At 38.0% G+C, this 18,615-nt stretch overlaps 1 protein-coding gene and 1 long non-coding RNA gene across 28 annotated transcripts in view, besides 2 other annotated features; one reads left to right on the top strand and one right to left on the bottom strand.

Annotated features, from left to right (window-relative positions):
• The window catches only part of AHI1-DT (AHI1 divergent transcript), a 218,255-nt gene extending 200,475 nt beyond the window's left edge, over window positions 1–17,780 (bottom strand). For 3 of the 5 annotated variants that reach the window (NR_152842.1, NR_152844.1, NR_152843.1), the window contains exons 1-2: window positions 17,581–17,780; window positions 17,064–17,177 (exon numbers count right to left, since the gene is read on the bottom strand). This is a non-coding gene — a long non-coding RNA (AHI1 divergent transcript). The remainder of the gene's footprint in view (window positions 1–17,063; window positions 17,178–17,580) is intronic. The other 2 variants (NR_152845.1, NR_026805.1) reach the window with 1 other exon arrangement.
• Window positions 17,501–17,720: a silencer, noted in NCBI's record as "silent region_17570". NCBI's record gives its function as "represses an Ori minimal core promoter by ATAC-STARR-seq in GM12878 lymphoblastoid cells {active_cell/tissue: GM12878}" and the evidence as "EXISTENCE:reporter gene assay evidence [ECO:0000049][PMID:35858748]".
• Window positions 17,841–18,615, top strand: part of AHI1 (Abelson helper integration site 1) — a 214,209-nt gene continuing 213,434 nt past the window's right edge. For 16 of the 23 annotated variants that reach the window (XR_001743480.3, XR_007059277.1, XR_007059278.1 and 13 more), the window contains exons 1-2: window positions 17,841–17,998; window positions 18,332–18,393. The gene's annotated coding sequence lies outside the window, so the exon portion shown is untranslated. The remainder of the gene's footprint in view (window positions 17,999–18,331; window positions 18,394–18,615) is intronic. The other 7 variants (XR_007059276.1, XM_047418943.1, NM_001134830.2 and 4 more) reach the window with 1 other exon arrangement.
• Window positions 18,071–18,130: a silencer, noted in NCBI's record as "silent region_17569". NCBI's record gives its function as "represses an Ori minimal core promoter by ATAC-STARR-seq in GM12878 lymphoblastoid cells {active_cell/tissue: GM12878}" and the evidence as "EXISTENCE:reporter gene assay evidence [ECO:0000049][PMID:35858748]".

Raw genomic sequence — 18,615 nt, 5'->3', positions numbered from 1 at the left:
AAACTATATATGTGAAAGTCAAGATTGTGGACTAACCACACACATTTATATTATTTTATTCCTAATAACCCAGTAAGTGGTTATAAAGGATACATACACACACACACACACATTCACATACACAATTATTATATATATTTACATATATACACACATATTTTATATTTGTTGTTATGTATATTTTATATATATGTGTGTATGTATATATATTTGTTGTTATATATACTTTATATGTGTATGTGTGTGTGTGTTTCTCCATATATATGGAGAAAGAGAGAGAGAAAGAGCAAGAGAGAGAAATACACAAAATCAATAAAGAATAAAAAGGACAGAAAGCAGGCCATTAGCAAACAAGAAAGGTCATCAAATTTCCTAAAGAGATTAAGCAGTTAGAAGAGTGGTGTAGTGAGTTGAATGGTGGTAATCAAAGAGATATGTCCATGTCTTCATTCCTCAGCCTGTGAATGTTACCTTACTTGGAAAGAGTCTTGCAGATATCATTAAGTCAAGGGTCTTGAGGTGAGAAGATCACTCTGGATTTTCTGGGCAGCCCTAAATTCAACAATAACTGTCCTTATTAACAGTGAGGCAGGGAGCAGATTACATAGACAAGGAGAAGGGCCTGTGAAGACAAAGGCGGAGATTTGGAGTGACACAGCTGCCAGCTGAGGAATGTCAACGGCTGCCAAAAGCTGGTCAAGGCAAGGAACATATTCCCTGCCGAGCCTCTGAAGGGAGGGCTGCACAGGTGTGGAGGCCAGAAGTCAAAAACTCTAGGCTGCTGACACCTTGATTTTTTTGACTTCTGGCCTCCAGATCTGTGAAAGAATACATTTCTATTGTTCCAAAGGCTGCTAAGTTTGTGGCAATGTGTTACAGGTAGCCACAAGAAATTAATGCAAATGGTTTCTATGGAAGCTGAGTAAATTGGCCTTGCAGAAATACAGAGAAGCTCAGAAAACACCAATTGGAAGCATATAGTAGAAAATGAAGGTATTAATTGAAAATTAGTGTTGGTTAAAATTGCCCCCCAACTCCCTTACCCCAAGAAGTGGGAACCCAGGGATTTACCACTCTAGCAAAAAGGCAGAAGATTCTTCTCTATACAAACTGCATGTTATGGACAAAAGCCGGGCAGTCAGTATGTTTGTTTCCCATCCAAACACCCTAAAGGAAAGTTGATCAATGGACAAGCCCAGCCCACAACCAATCAACTTTTCATTCCCTTATTTTTAACAAGTAACTAAGGAACCCTGGACACTTTTTAAAGGCTCCAGAATTAAAGGGAGGCCAGTAAAGATAAACCAAGATTAAAAAGTCCACTGAGAAAGTTGAAATGATTCAAGGATTTGAAGGAAACAGTCTATTTATTGAATATTTTCACAGATAGTTATGCCAGTTAATAATCTATTACCTTTCAATTCCAAACCCATCCTCTTTTCTCTAGTTGTGACAGTGGAACTTGTCTTTGCCGGCTGGTTCCATGTAGGCTCTGTTAATAGAGGTCACTGGGAGAAGAAACTGCAAGGTTGGACACTGAGGTCAGAATTGGAGGGGGTGTTTTTAATTTTATTTCAAACTACTTTATTGAGGTATGATTGATATATAAAAAGCTATACATATATAATGTATAAAACTCAGTGAGTCTGAGAATAAATATATACTTGTGAAACCATCACCACCATCAAAGCCATAAATATATTCATCACCTTGGAAAATTTCTTCTGCCCTCCACTCCTTTTTTTTTTGTTCTAAGGACACTTAACATAAGATCTACCCCCTTAGCAAATTTGTAGTATATAATACAGTGTTTTTAGCTATAGGCACTACGCTGCACAGTAGATCTTCAGAACTTATTTATTTTGCATAACTGAAACTTTATGTTCTTTAATCATCACCTCCCCACTTCCCCCTTCCCCTAGTCCCTGGAAACCACTGTTCTAATCTTTGCTTTTATGAGTTTGACTATTTTAAATTCCATACATAAATGAGATCATATTTGTCTTTCTGTGTCTGGCTTATTTCACAGCATAATGCCCTCTAGGTCTATCCATGTTGTCACAAATGGCAGGATTTCCTTCTTTTTTAAGGCTGAGTAATATTCCATCGTATGTATAGACCACATTTTCTTTATCCATTCATCTGTCAGTAGACATTTAGGTTAACAACAAACCCTTGAACAACCAATAGGTCAAAGAAGACATCAAAAAAGAAATTTTAAAAACTTGAGACAAATGAAAATGAAAACACAGCATACCAAAACTTATGAGATGCTGCAAAATTAGTTTTAGGAGAGAAGTTTATAGAGATAAAGCCTGCTTTAATAATAATTTAGAATTTTGTCAAAGGCCTTTTCTGCATCTATTGAGATAATCATGTGGTTTTTGTCTTTGGTTCTGTTTATATGCTGGATTACATTTATTGATTTTCATATATTGAACCAGCCTTGCATCCCAGGGATGAAGCCCACTTGATCATGGTGGATAAGCTTTTCGATGTGCTGCTGGATTGCGTTTGCCAGTATTTTATTGAGGATTTTTGCATCAATGTCCTTCAAGGATATTGGTCTAAAATTCTCTTTTTTGGTCGTGTCTCTGCCCGGCTTTGGTATCAGGATGATGCTGGCCTCATAAAATGAGTTAGGGAGGATTCCCTCTTTTTCTATTGATTGGAATAGTTTCAGAAGGAATGGTACCAGTTCCTCCTTGTACCTCTGGTAGAATTCGGCTGTGAATCCATCTGGTCCTGGACTCCTTTTGGTTGGTAAGCTATTGATTATTGCCACAATTTCAGAGCCTGTTATTGGTCTATTCAGAGATTCAACTTCTTCCTGGTTTAGTCTTGGGAGAGTGTATGTGTGGAGGACTTTATCCATTTCTTCTAGATTTTCTAGTTTATTTGCATAGAGGTGTTTGTAGTATTCTCTGATGATAGTTTGTATTTCTGTGGGATCGGTGGTGATATCCCCTTTATCATTTTTTATTGCATCTATTTGATTCTTCTCTCTTTTTTTCTTTATTAGTCTTGCTAGCGGTCTATCAATTTTGTTGATCCTTTCGAAAAACCAGCTCCTGAATTCATTAATTTTTTGAAGGGTTTTTTTTTTTGCTGCTATTTCCTTCAGTTCTGCTCTGATTTTAGTTATTTCTTGCCTTCTGCTAGCTTTTGAATGTGTTTGCTCTTGCTTTCTAGTTCTTTTAATTGTGATGTTAGGGTGTCAATTTTGGATCTTTCCTGCTTTCTCTTGTGGGCATTAAGTGCTGTAAATTTCCCTCTACACACTGCTTTGAATGTGTCCCAAAGATTCTGGTATGTTGTGTTTTTGTTCTCGTTGGTTTCAAAAGGCATCTTTATTTCCGCCTTCATTTCGTTATGTACCCAGTAGTCATTCAGGAGCAGGTTGTTCAGTTTACATGTAGTTGAGCAGTTTGGAGTGAGTTTCTTAATCCTGAGTTCTAGTTTGATTGCACTGTGGTCTGAGAGACAGTTTGTTATAATTTCTGTTCTTTTACATTTGCTGAGGAGAGCTTTACTTCCAACTATGTGGTCAAGTTTGGAATAGGTGTGGTGTGGTGCTGAAAAAAATGCATATTCTGTTGATTCGGGGTGGAGAGTTCTGTAGATGTCTATTAGGTCCGCTTGGTGCAGAGCTGAGTTCAATTCCTGGGAATCCTTGTTAACTTTCTGTCTCGTTGATCTGTCTAATGTTGACAGTGGGGTGTTAAAGTCTCCCACTATTATTGTGTGGGAGTCTAAGTCTCTTTGCAGGTCACTCAGGACTTGCTTTATGAATCTGGGTGCTTCTGTATTGGGTGCATATATATTTAGGAGAGTTAGCTCTTCTTGTTGAATTGATCCCTTTACCATTATGTAATGGCCTTCTTTGTCTCTTTTGATCTTTGTTGGTTTAAAGTCTGTTTTATCAGAGACTCGGATTGTTAAAAACTCTCAATAAATTAGGTATTGATGGGACGTATCTCAAAATAATAAGAGCTATCTATGACAGACCCACAGCCAATATCATACTGAATGGGCAAAAACTGGAAGCATTCCCTTTGAAAACTGGCACAAGACAGGGATGCCCTCTCTCACCACTCCTATTCAACATACTGTTGGAAGTTCTGGCCAGGGCAATTAGGCAGGAGAAGGAAATAAAGGGTATTCAATTAGGAAAAGAGGAAGTCAAATTGTCCCTGTTTGCAGACGACATGATTGTATATCTAGAAAACCCCATTGTCTCAGCCCAAAATCTCCTTAAGCTGATAAGCAACTTCAGCAAAGTCTCAGGATACAAAATCAATATACAAAAATCACAAGCATTCTTATACACCAATAACAGACAAACAGAGAGCCAAATCATGAGTGAACTCCCATTCACAATTGCTTCAAAGAGAATAAAATACCTAGGAATCCAACTTACAAGGGATGTGAAGGACCTCTTCAAGGAGAACTACAAACCACTGCTCAAGGAAATAAAAGAGGATACAAACAAATGGAAGAACATTCCATGCTCATGGGTAGGAAGAATCAATATCGTGAAAATGGCCATACTGCCCAACGTAATTTATAGATTCAATGCCATCCCCATCAAGCTACCAATGACTTTCTTCACAGAATTGGAAAAAAACTACTTTAAAGTACATATGGAACCAAAAAAGAGCCTGCATCACCAAGTCAATCCTAAGCCAAAAGAACAAAGCTGGAGGCATCACGCTACCTGACTTCAAACTATACTACAAGGCTACAGTAACCAAACAGCATGGTACTGGTACCAAAACAGAGATATAGATCAATGGAACAGAACAGAGTCCTCTGAAATAATGCCGCATATTTACAACTATCTGATCTTTGACAAACCTGAGAAAAACAAACAATGAGGAAAGGATTCCCTATATAATCAATGGTGCTGGGAAAACTGGCTAGCCATATGTAGAAAGCTGAAACTGGATCCCTTCCTTACACCTTATACAAAAATTAATTCAAGATGGATTAAAGACTTAAATGTTAGACCTAAAACCATAAAAACCCTAGAAGAAAACCTAGGCATTACCATTCAGGACACAGGCATGGGCAAGGACTTCATGTCTAAAACACCAAAAGCAATGGCGACAAAAGCCAAAATTGACAAATGGGATCTAATTAAACTAAAGAGCTTCTGCACAGCAAAAGAAACTACCATCAGAGTGAACAGGCAACCTACGAAATGGGAGAAAATTTTCGCAACCTACTCATCTGACAAAGGGCTAATATCCAGAATCTACAATGAACTCAAACAAATTTACAAGAAAAAAACAAACAACCCCATCAAAAAGTGGGCAAAGGATATGAACAGACACTTCTCAAAAGAAGACATTTATGCAGCCAAAAGACACATGAAAAAATGCTCATCATCACTGGCCATCAGAGAAATGCAAATCAAAACCACAATGAGACACCATCTCACACCACTTAGAATGGCAATCATTAAAAAGTCAGGAAACAACAGGTGCTGGAGAGGATGTGGAGAAATAGGAACACTTTTACACTGTTGGTGGGACTGTACACTAGTTCAATCATTGTGGAAGTCAGTGTGGCGATTCCTCAGGGATCTAGAACTAGAAATACCATTTGACCCAGCCATCCCATTACTGGGTATATACCCAAAGGACTATAAATCATGCTGCTATAAAGATACATTCACATGTATGCTTATTGCGGCACTATTCACAATAGCAAAGACTTGGAACCAACCCAAATGTCCAACAATGATAGACTGGATTAAGAAAATGTGGCACATATACACCATGGAATACTATGCAGCCATAAAAAATGATGAGTTCATGTCCTTTGTAGGGACATCATGGATGAAATTGGAAATCATCATTCTCAGTAAACTATCTCAAGGACAAAAAACCAAACACTGCATGTTCTCACTCATAGATGGGAATTGAACAATGAGAACACATGGACACAGGAAGGGGAACATCACACTCTGGGGACTGTTGTGGGCTGGGGGGAGGGGGGAGGGACAGCATTAGGAGATACACCTAATGCTAAATGACGAGTTAATGGGTGCAGCACACCAACATGGCACATGTATACGTATGTAACTAACCTGCACATTGTGCACATGTACCCTAAAACTTAAAGTATAATAATAATAATAATAATAATAATAATAAATAATAATTTAGAAAAAAGAAAGATCTCAAATAAGCAATCTGACTTTACACCTCAAGAAACTAGAAAAAGAACAAACTAAGCCCAAAATTACTAGAAATTAGGAAACAATAAAGATTAGAGCAGAAACAAGTAAAATAGACACTAGAAAAGAAATAGAAATTATTAACAAAACTCAGAGTTGCTTATCTTTTGAAAAGATAAACAAAATTGACAAGACTTAAACTGAGGGAAAAAGTGAGAAGACTCAGATACATAAAATTGTAAATGAAAGAAGAGATATTAAAACTTAACACCACAGAAATACAAAGGATTCTAAGAGACTACTATGAACAATTAAATGCCAACAAATTGGATAAACTGGAAGACAGAGATAAATTCCTAGAAACATACAACCTACCTAGACTGAATTATGAAGAAACAGAAAATCTGACAGACCAATAATGAGTATGGGAATTGAATCGGTAATCAAGAGCCTCCTAACAACAACAACAAAAAGCGCAAAGCTCTTTCACTTCACTGGTAATTACTGTAACAGCAACTCTTGTCAAACTCTTCCAAAAAATTGAAGCTGAGGGAACACTTGCAAACTCATTCACAAGGCTAGCATTAGCATGATATCAAAGCCAAACAAGGACATTACAAGAAAAGAAATGACAAGGCCCAAATCCCTGTTGAACATAGATGCAAAAATCCTCAACCAAGGACAAGCAAACCAAATTCCACAGCACATCCAAAGGATCATAAGCCATGATCAAGAGGCAATTTTTGTTCTGGTGTTCTTTTCCTCTTGTCAGGCATGCAAGGGTCCCTCCGGTGTTTCTCACAGCAGCAGAGGGGCATTCCTGCGGCAACCATGCCCACTCAGGCCTGAATCTCTGCCTCTGGAGATTCCAGTTTCCTTCCTTATTCAATTTTTCCTCAATCCTAGGAGTAGCAGGTACTTTTTGCAGCTACTACCTCGGTATATTTTACAGTTCTCTCTTAGTAGTTAATACATCCTTTACTTAGTTCACAGTTATCTTCCCTATCCAAATTATGGGTGTGGTCATTTTTGCTCTTTGACTGAACTCTAACACAATAGTCAAGAAAATACTGAATCTTTAAATTCTATAAAATTAAACATTAGAAATAAAACTCTCAGAAATTATAAATGTTATTGCTAAAGTAAATTTTTCAATATATGGTTAGAAGATTAAGTTTAAAAAAATCTCCCAGAGAATAGAAAAGCAGTTAGAGATGGAATAAAAGGTGAGATTAAGATGCAGAAGAGGGCGGGAGTGAAGGGAAGAATAAAGTTGTCAATATCTTCTTACGATGGGAGGTATCAAGAGATAATACATACAGGGCTCAAAAACAAAGGGGCAAGTATGTTATTTAAACATGCAAAGAGAAATTAAATGTAGTAATAGTAATAGTAACACTTGTTTAGTGCTTTAAATTTATTGACACATTTATCCTCACAATAATCCTCCAAGGAATTGACTATTATTATCCCCATATTACACATGAGAAAAAAAAGAGGCTCAGAGAGCTTGAGTAACTTGCCTAAGATTATACAGCCAGCAAGTGGTGCAAGTAGGACTTGAGTCTGTGCTCTTATCTATTATACTGCTGTGCCTCTTTCTATGACTTTATTGGGAAGAGATGGATAGGGACAGTAGAAGGCAATGCTAATGAGTTAAATCACTGCCCATCTCTCTCCACAATAGATTAAGACAATATTTAAAACTGATGAATCAAGAAATAGTAGTAAGAGATGGGTAATCATCAGAAGAAACAAAAACAGAAGCTATTTAAGCCAATTTGGTCTCAGGAACAGTACTGTGGCAAGGAATAGGTGAAGCAGGGATTTGGAATTTTTCCTTGTAAGCCCTTTATTTATCTATTTTTTTTTATTATTATTATTATTATTATTATTATTTTGAGACAGGGTCTTGCTCCGTCACCCAGGCTAGAGTACAGTGGCACAATCTTGGCTCACTGCAACCTCTGCCTCCTGGGTTCAAGCGATCCTCCCACCTCAGCCTCCCGAGTAGCTGGGATTACAGACGCACACCACCACGCCCAGCTAACTTTTTGTACTTTTGTAGAGACGGGGTTTCACCATGTTGGCCAGGCTGGTCTCGAACTCCTGGCCTCAAGTGATCCGCCCGCTTTAGCCTCCCAAAGTGCTGGGATTACAGGCATGAGCCACTGTGCCCAGCCCCCTCCTGTATTATTAACATGTACTTTAATAATTTATTCTAAACATTTTAAAAGAAAAAAAATTATAAATGATCTGAGTTAACAAGAGAAAAATGGAGCCATCCAGTTAAATTATACATTAAAGTTATGTCATTTTTTCTTTTTTACATTTTAAATACTAATTATACAATCAAATGTGATAAGAAGGAAATTCCTTTCTCATCTGTGACAGAGATATCTGACCTGAGTCCTTTAGAGAAGAAGACCTGGTAACTACCCACAACAGAGTTTGGGAGGCCCCTATTTTCACACTTGGTAAGAGATACGAAAGTGGTTTCCAATCTAGTAAAGAGATGCCATTTGAATAGTAAGATGAAAAGTTAAACATTAGCGGCCACAAAAGGTTTGAAACTCAAGACAGGAATGAGTGTCCAAAATGTGCTTTTTGTCCAACCAGAAGACCTCTTATCATAGATGAAAGATAAGCTCTCTGGAGGGTGGCCTTTAATGACAGGAAAGGGCTCTGAATTCTTGCATATTTTGCTAGACAGACTGGTGGTACCGGCACCATCCTGTATATTTATTAATCTAGAAACTCTATTTTCAAACCTGGTGTCAAATACATCTCATCAACTATTATAAGTTCAAACCAACAGATTAAACAGTAAAGTAAATAGTTCAGGATAGCAAACTGGTGCATGGTAAAACAGCAATAAGACCTTACACACCCTTAAAATGAGGTCTTTCAGGCACAGGTAACGATACACATTGATATGCTGCCATCTAGTGCTCATTGCTTTAGACAACTGAATTAATCATATGCTGAAATGGATTTTTAAATTATTACTATTTTTTAACTCTTCCCCTTAGTCTCTGCAGAAGTTACTGTTTTTCATGGGACCTTCTGAGACCTAAACCAAAACATTTTCCTAATAAAATGGTATTTATACACAGCCAGTAAATCTACAGACAGCTTTATACATAATGGAAAGCTCAGTGGGTTCTACCTAACCCATGTATACAGGTTGATCGAGTTTTCGTGGCATGCCACCCACAGAAAGGGTATAAGGAAGGTTTAATTACTTCAGTAAGTCATCTGCTAAATTTGAGTAACAATCACTATTACAAAGCCATTACTATTACTCATAAAATTCCTTTCAACATGTATTAACAGTTGAGAGAGAAGGAATTCCTCTTTTCCCAATATGTCACAAAGATACTCTGAAAAAAAAAAAAAAAACCTGAAAACCAGCTAGAAATGCTGACTAAATTGCATCATTGAATTCCTCGGGGGCCAAAGAGAAGAAAGAACTAAAACAAGAGTGGAAAGTAGGGGCTGAGGGCATTTTTACTAGAGGGGCACTTGCTGATGCCAGGAATGTAGTCTTAGAATGCAATGGCCTCCCAAAGCATAGGATTCAAGGCCTTGCTCAGTGTGAGAACTAAGATGTTTGCATAAAAGTGGAACCCTTAAAAGATTACAGCAGCAAAGATAAACAAGGAAGTTTGTTTGTAGGGGCTAAAGTTCAGGTAGAGAAAAAAAAAATCTTCCCTCAAAATTATAACCATATCCTCTGTTTCATAGGATTTGGGTTCGAACCTATAGTAATCTGATAGGTTGGATATGGGGTATAAGAAAAGGAGAAAGGTCAAAGGTTATGATAAAAGAAAAACTTTAACTGAATTAAATTTAAAGGAATTTAATTGAGCAGTGAATGATTTGCAAATCAGACAGCCTTCCCAGACAGAGTAGGCTCGGAGACTCCAGCGCAGCCATGTGCTGGAAGATTTATGGACAGAAAAAGGAGTGAGGCACAGAAAATGGAAGTGAGGTACAGAACCAGCTGGATTGGTTACAGCTTTGTGTTTGCCTTATTTAAACATGGTTTGAATAGTTGACGACATTTGATTGGCCAAAACTTGGTGATTGGCCCAAGTGTAGGCTACATCTGGTTACACTTCTACTTGTTATAGTTTAAGATGTACAAAGAAACATTTAGGCTGAATTTAAAATATGTAAGGAGGTAGTTTTAGGCTAAGCTTGATTTAACAGTTACTCCAATGTATTTGGTGTTTGGCTTGAGTAACTGGAAGAATGGAGTTGTCATTGCTTGAGATGGAGAAAGTGGGGATTTGAGGAGGCAGATGAGGAATTCAGTGTTAGAAAAGTTAAGTTTGAGAATATGTCGGACATCTAAGTGGAGACATGTAATATACAGTTAGATTTATGAGTCTGAAGTTCAAGGAAGAATAATGGGCAGAAGGGATATATTTGGGAGTAGTCTACATGACAGTGGGACTATAGAACTGTAAGAAATCACTGAGTGAGTACGTGTAGATAGAGAAGTCCAGGAACATACCTCTGGGACATTCCAATATCAAGAGGTCAAGGTGATAGGCATGAACTAGTAAAGGAGCCCTAGAAAGAGGAAAAGCAGGAAAATGTGCAATCACCGGTTAGAAAATGTAATAAGAATTGGATGCATTCAAAATAGCACCAAAAATCTATAAAATGCTGAGGAATAAATAATAATATGAGAGACTTATAAGAAAAGTATCTTATTTTTTAAAAGCCACCATATCACCTTTTGACACTTTCACTATAATTGCTTAAAAACACTTTGGATTAGAAGTGATATAGCATAAAGCCATTAAAATGAATGGGGTAGATATATGTTACTGACATAAAAAGCCTTTTAGAAATAATAATACTTGATAAAGGACAAAAACAAGATGACAGGACAAAATCTATGGTAAGAAGTTATCTTTATAATTTAGTATATTTAGTATATGTATGAATGGAAGTATGAAAGAATGTATAGAAGACTGATCAGTGATTAAAAACACGGCTGACTTTCGGTTACCACATTATAAATATCTGAACGATTGTTTGAAATTTTTCCACGTGCACATAAGAACATTACTAACAAAGTTAGAATTTCCAGTGATGATTAAGTGGTGATATATACAGCATCTCCTTCTTATCTGCATGGGATATGTTCCAAGATCCCCAGTGGATGTCTGAAACTACAGGTAGTAGCAAAGCCTGTATTTACTATACTTGCATGCCTTTCTCAAAGTCAAATAAAACATAGAGTCAAATTTCCACATTTCAAACATTTTATTTGGGAAATGAGAATTGCATTTCCAGGCAAACACACAGAATGGGTGGTCTTCAGTATGTCTGAAAAACAAAGATCAGGTTGGAGGTTTTATAAAAAGGAAAAATGTTACCCATTGTTTTGCAAAGAAACAATGGGTAACATTTGGGGAGCTGGCGAGCTCTGATTGGCGAGTGATGGCAGTGGGTAAAACTAATCTTAGTGTCACAGCAGGTTATTTCATTAGCTATCAGATAAAACTGATTTCAGATTACAACAGGCAGTTTCAGTAGCTGGGCTTGTGGAAAATTTAATTCTTGGAGCAGATGCTATATGCCCCAAATGCTTTTTCCCCTGGGCCCTTCACTCTGATTTAGTTGGGTACAACAAGAATGACCCAATTTCTATAATCAACTTTCACACCTCTCATAAAGTTTAATTTATAAATTAGGCCCAGTAAGAGATTAACAGCAATAACTAATAACAATATAAAGTTTTTATAACAATATACTGTATTAATAGTTATTATGTAAATGTAATCTCTTATTTTCTCTCTAAAAATTTTCAAACCAAGCTTGTTGAGTGAAACCTCAGAAAGCAAAACCATGGTTAAGGGGGCACTATTGTAATAGCATGGAAATGAAATTGCAACATAATGTTCATTCAAGTAAGCAGAAATAAACATTTTACACACAACATGACCAAAATTAAAATACGCATGGAAAACAGACTGAAACGAAATTTGTCAAAAAAGTTAATTTAGATTCTCTTGGGTAGTGGTATTGAGTATTTTTTCCTTTTTTTCATGATTCTACATATTTCAAATTATCTATAATACATATATTCTTACTTTTATTTTTCCTGCTTATTATAAAAATTTCCAAACACACAAAGGAAAAAGTATAATGAAATACTAGGTACCTACCAGCCAGCTTCAACAACCATCAAAATTTAGATATACATGTGTCATTTCCTCTCACCTTTTAAAAAAATCTAGAATATTTTAAAGCAAATCCTGGACACCTTATCATTCTGTTCTGTGCACGTAAGTCATACTCTACATAACCACACCAACATTATTTTACCTAATGAAATTAATAAACATTTCTTAACATCTTCTAAATATTTAGCCCATAACAAAAAATCTGATTGCCTAAAACATGTTTTTCTATAGTTGGTTTATTTAAATTAGAATCCAAACAAGGCCCATTCATTCCATCTGTTATGGCTCCAGAACCCTCTCCAATAGTGTCATGGACTCAGTTATGCCCCAGTTCCAAATGCATATGTTGAAGTTCTAACCTTAAAGTACCTCAGAATGTGCCTGTATTTGAAGACAGAGTCTCTAAAGAGGTAATTAAGTTAAAAGGAGGTCATTAGGGTGAGCCCTAATCCAATATGACTCTGTCCTTATAAGAAGAGATTAAGATACGGGCAGGTACAGAGGGAAGTGCAGGTGAAGACACAGGGAGACAACAACCATCTACAAGCCAACAAGAGAGTCCTTAGAAGAAACCAACCCTGCAGACATCTTTATCTCAGTCTTCTAGCCCCCAGAATTGTGAGAATATAAATTTCTGTGGTACTTTGTTATGGCTGCCCCAGCAAACTAATACAAGCAAACTAATACAGAAAACTAATACAAGCAGTAAAGCCAACATCTGTTCTGATTGGTAAATGCACATCCTGTAAGGGATTTAAATATTTTGCATATCAGTCACATTTAGGCATTATATTATTCAAGAAATTCACTATTCATTATGTATTAAATGTGTCGAATACCCTAAATCTATTTTATTCCTAAACGGTTCAATTTATATACATACATATATATATACACACACACACACACATACACATATATGTGTATATATATTTATACATATATGTGTGTATATATACATATATGTGTGTATATATATACATATATGTGGATATATATTTATACATATATGTGTGTATATATGTTTATACATATATGTGTGTGTATATATATATATATACACACAATTTTTTTCATGGATACTCAGCCAATTTTTAGAATTATTACCATACTACCACTCTTAATTGTTTGCCTCTCCTAGGATAGCGGAGTGCCCTTGGTCTTGCACTCTCGACTAATGAGAGCTAAAGCAACATATCTGCTTTATTCAGTTTGAATGGGGCTCATTAATATGTTTAGTATATACTCAACTGCCTGCTGAACATCCCACTCCATACATCCCATTGCAACTAAACATCTTTTCCTCCATGCTTGCTCTTCCTGATTTTTTGTCGTTAACTGATTAGCCATTCTCCACCCAGTTACCTGAGCCAGAAACCTCGGCACCTTTCAAACTTCTTTTATAGTTTTAAAATAATTATAAACTTACAGAAAAATTGCAAGAATAGTATAAAGAACTTCTGCTTTCGCCCAAATTCCCTGTTAACATTTGCTTTATCATTTTCTTTATGTATATTATTTATGTTTATATTTATTTACAGTATTTATGTATACTTTTTTCCTGAACCATTTGAATAGGTTGCAGATATGAAGCCTCATCACCTTTAATACTTCAATATGTATTTTCTAAAACCAAAAATATCTATGTCACTATAGTCATCAAAATCAGGAAATTAATATTGTTAAAATACTACCATCTAATCCAGAGACCCCATTCAAATTGTTAGTTGTCCCAATAATATCCTTATAGCAAAAGGATTCAATTCAGAATCATGTATTCCACTTAATTGTCATGTATCTTAATTCTCCTTCAATCTAAAAACGTTCTTTAGTTGTTCCTTTGTCTTTCATGACCTTGATCTTTGAAGAGTACAGGTCTATTATTTTGTAGAATGTCCCTCAATTTGGGACATTTGGGTTGTCTGATTTTTTCCTCACGATTGATTCGGATTACACATTTTTGGCAGGAATGTCACAGAAGTGTATTCTAAGTGCCTCTAACCAGGACATACACGATGCTGATTTGTCTCATGACTGCTGATGGTAACTTCGCTCACCAGTGCCAGATTTCTACACTGTCAAGTTTTCTAATTTTTCTCTGTGTAATTAATAAGTATTTGCTGGAGAGATACTTTGAGACTATATAAATATTATATGTCTCTTAATACTCTCACCCTCTAGTTTTAGCATACACTGATGATTCTAGTCTGAATCAACTGTTACTATCATGACTGCCAAATAATGATGTTTCTACATATAACACTGTCTACATTCATTACATTTAGTTGGCATTTTTATGTAAGGCAGAGCTTTTCTTTATCCTGATTTTTCAAAAAAATCATTTATTCATTTTAGTATGGGCTCAAATATTCCTATTTTATTTAGCGGACTATAATCCATTAACATTATATTGGTGCTCAGATTGACCCAGATGTGGCCAGTGGTGGCTCCTTCAAGCTGGCTTCTGTGACCTTTTGATATGTTTCTTCATTCTGTATTAACTTCCTTAACTTCTGGTGCAACAAGAATTTTCCAGGCTCCTGTTCTAAAATCAACCATTTCTCCAAGGGACCCAGTTACTTTTAGTGAATAATACTGTTCAGAAACCAAGATCTAGGCACATGTGCTCATTGCTTCTAGTATACCATTACTCTGAAACCCTTTCAGCAGATAGAGCTAGGAAGAGCATAATAGATAGATACGCACACACATACAGACATACTTTCCTCTATATTTATTTTTACATATGTTTATGTATATATTGAAAACTATGAGTTGACACTGACATATTCAATTCCAATTCAACATCACCACAAAGGTCACTGTGGAATTCTTCCTCTCTCAATTTGTAACGTCCTTCTCTGTCAGTGAGAAACCTGGCTCCCATTAGACCCAACATATTTATTTCCTCACTCCCCTTTCATGCTTGCCACCTCTTTACTTGCCAAGGGGAAGGCAAAACAGCTGGTCATCGTTTTTTATTATTTCTTATCATTCACTCTTCCATCCAATCAATCACTAAGTCCTGACATTTTTACCTCCTAAAAATTTCTCAAATTGGTCCATTTCTCTCCATTCTGATTTTTCTTAGCCTTGACCATGCCACCTTTGTCTCTTACATGGCTTACAGCAACGGCATCTTAAATGGTATTCCCAGATCTAGATTTGCTTCCTTCCTGTCTGTTCTCCACCCTGCAGCCAGAGTTATCTTTATGATATTAAAATTTGAAAATTTCACTCCATAAAATTCTATAGTGGTATTCCACTGACCAATACTGTCTGGGTCTCTTCATAGCTTGTTTAACTCTCTTGTTTTGTCTCCTCCAAAAGCCCCTAGTCTCATTCTCTACCTTTTAGTTAGCCAACTTGAACTTTTTTTTTTTTTCTTCCAGTTCTTGTATTATACCAAACTTTCTTGTAGTGAACACTATACGCCACCTTCTTCTACCTGGAAACCCTTCCTAACCTGGACAACTCTACACATTATTTTGGTCTTTACTTAAATGTCACTTCTGCTATGAAATATTCCCTGACCTCCCCCACCCCACTGCACCTCTGCATGCTACTGTAAATGGAGAAGCAAGAGATGATAACAGGGTTACACATCCGCTAGTCTGGGGATTGTATTCTGAAACTAACACCCTACTAAGAATGAGCAGTCAGAGTTATAACTTCCCTTTGGAAAAGCAGGTACTTAAATGCAGTTGTGAGGACAGATGAAAAGTACATAAAACACCTACAATGCATACCTCCTAGAAGGAGCTCAATATATGTTATCCATTATTCATTCAACAAATGTTCATGAAATGCCAACTATTTCATAGACACTGTGGTAGATGCTGGGGATAGAGAAAATACAAAGTAAACTATGAAACTATAGAATGAGCATCCAAAGTCTAATATATAGAATGAGTATCCGAAGTCTAATAGGGAGTAGGAGTGTTTGAAGGAGTCAGTCAACCTGCTTAAGATTCAAAGGATGGACAACATTTGGCTGTGATGCAGGAGTGTAAAAGGAGGAATTTTCAGGAAGAGAGGACAATATGAGTAAGGACGGGGCGTGAAAGGCTATGGATTGTTTTTCATGGTACACATAATTCAATGTTGCATAAAACTGCATGGTACACATGATTCAATATTGCATAAAATTGGAACAAGAAGCTAACGAGAGATGAAACTAGTCAGGGAGATGGAGAATCTTGTATCCTAGGCAAAGTAATCATTTTCTCTTACAGATTGCCTTTCAAAAATTTTCAGCAGGAGAGTGCCATTATCCGATTTACATTTTTAGTCAGGTCATTCTGATAGCAGTGTGGAGAATTTAAGAGTCAAACTGGAGTCAGAGAACTGGTAAAGGGCCCATCTGAGGAAGTTAAAAAGAGAGAATGGATATGCTTTGGCATAAGATGCATTTAGGATACTCTACTGTTCTTACTAAAACACTGGGAGGATTGTGGTGGCTTACAGCAAGATAGAAATCTAGGAGAGTATGTTTAGAACGGAAAGTTGAACAGCTCAGTTCGGTACGCATTGGATTAGTAATCTTTCTCGTTGCTTCCTCACAGGATTTAGGGAAGCACAAGACATATAGTTTGTAAGGTGTGGCAATGTCAGTAAGAATGGAAAAGCTGGCCTCCATAAACTCTTACTGTACAAATGAAGCAACAGCTTACAGCGGGTGGCTGTAGGTACAGGAAATGGCCTGTATTCACGAGTGTATTCACGAGTCCACGAGTAGCGCATCTAGTATTTTTCCAGCCCTGGTGACTCAGAGCTGAAGATGGCGCCTGTGGCAGAAATCAGAAAAGTGGGAGGGAGCATTAGGTGTAGAAAAGGATGGCGTTTTAACTTTTGTTTTGTTTTTCACACACAGGGAGATAGCTCTAAAGGAACAGTGGATAATTTTTTCTTAAAATTTTGTCTGTAGTACAACTTCATTTTCCACGCCTTAAAACCATGTTTTCTTTTGTGGGCGCGATCGCGTGGGGAGTGACAAATCTGTTTCTTTGCCTCATTCATTCATTTTCTTATTCTGGGCGGCTTCCATGACAGCCTCCCCAGTTTTCCTTTGCCCAGTCAGTTTTTCCCTGCGCTAGCTACAATTCTAAGGCGAAAAGAGCATTTTCGGAGGTGAGGGCGGGGAAAACTCAAGACTCTGTAGGGGCACCCGCGCATTTCCGGGTCCCTTACCGCTCCGAGTGGAGGAGACTGTTCCCGCTCGCGTGGCCGGGGAGGCGGGAGCCCCCTAAGTTCCCTGAAGCTCGCGCCCGCCTGCGGCCTGAGGGCCCCCGGGCAGGCGCCGCACGGCCCCTCCTCCTGGAAGAAGGCGGTGGAGGCGCGGGGACGGGGCCGCGGTCTTCGCCTAGAGCGCGGGACGCATCGGTCGCCATGGGAACGGCGGCGTAGGCAGGCGCTGACGTCAGCAGGCGGCGCGCTGTCCGCACTGCGGCACAGAGCCGCGGCTTGCTTTCAGGACACGGGTCGCTGGCGGGTTAGGTGGCTGCGTGGCCGCCTCACTTCGCGCACGCGCCGCTAGGCTGGGGGAGTTGATTTGCACTGCTCCGGGTGTCGGCTCCGGCGGGACGGGCGGTTCTGCGTACCCCTCTCCGTGAGTACATCATGGGTGCGCTGGTGGCGGGAGCGCGGGCCGGGGTGCTCGGCCTGCCCGGCCCTCTCCTGGGCGGCGTGTCGGGGCTGCTGGAGTCCGAGAGCGCGGAGGCTGATAGCGTAGTGACCGACGAGCGTGGGCCGGGTGTCCCGGGGGAATGCGATTTCTGAGAGTCCTCACCGTACTTTTGCGCTTCTTTCACTGGTCTCCGTGTCCCCGGAGAGTTGAGCATGGTGCTCTGATAGAGAATTCAATCTTTGCCTTTCCTACTCCCGATTCTTATTTAAATGCTTTTAAATCAGATGTGTACTGAGTGTGTTTATTTCCTTTTAGAGTGTCAACCTGGGGCTGAATCTTCAACCTGTCAAAGCCTTCTTAATTATGTCTGAGAAAAGGTGATCAATTTGTTATATTTATAAGAGCCAAATTATATTAATAGGGTTGTTTCGAGATGCATAAAAATAGAACAAAAATGTAGACCATTTAAGAATCCTTATCAAAGGTTGTGCTGCGTTTAGCATTCCTGTAAAAACATCTATTGTGAAAATAAAGCTTTCCCCTTTCTTTTGAGAAAGAGATGCCAACGATTTTTTCACCTGTTGCATTAACAGTTGCTG

Source organism: Homo sapiens, chromosome 6, assembly GCF_000001405.40.
Source record: "Homo sapiens chromosome 6, GRCh38.p14 Primary Assembly".
Classification (NCBI taxonomy): Eukaryota; Metazoa; Chordata; class Mammalia; order Primates; family Hominidae; genus Homo; species Homo sapiens.
This window is presented reverse-complemented; position numbering and strand designations above follow the sequence as displayed.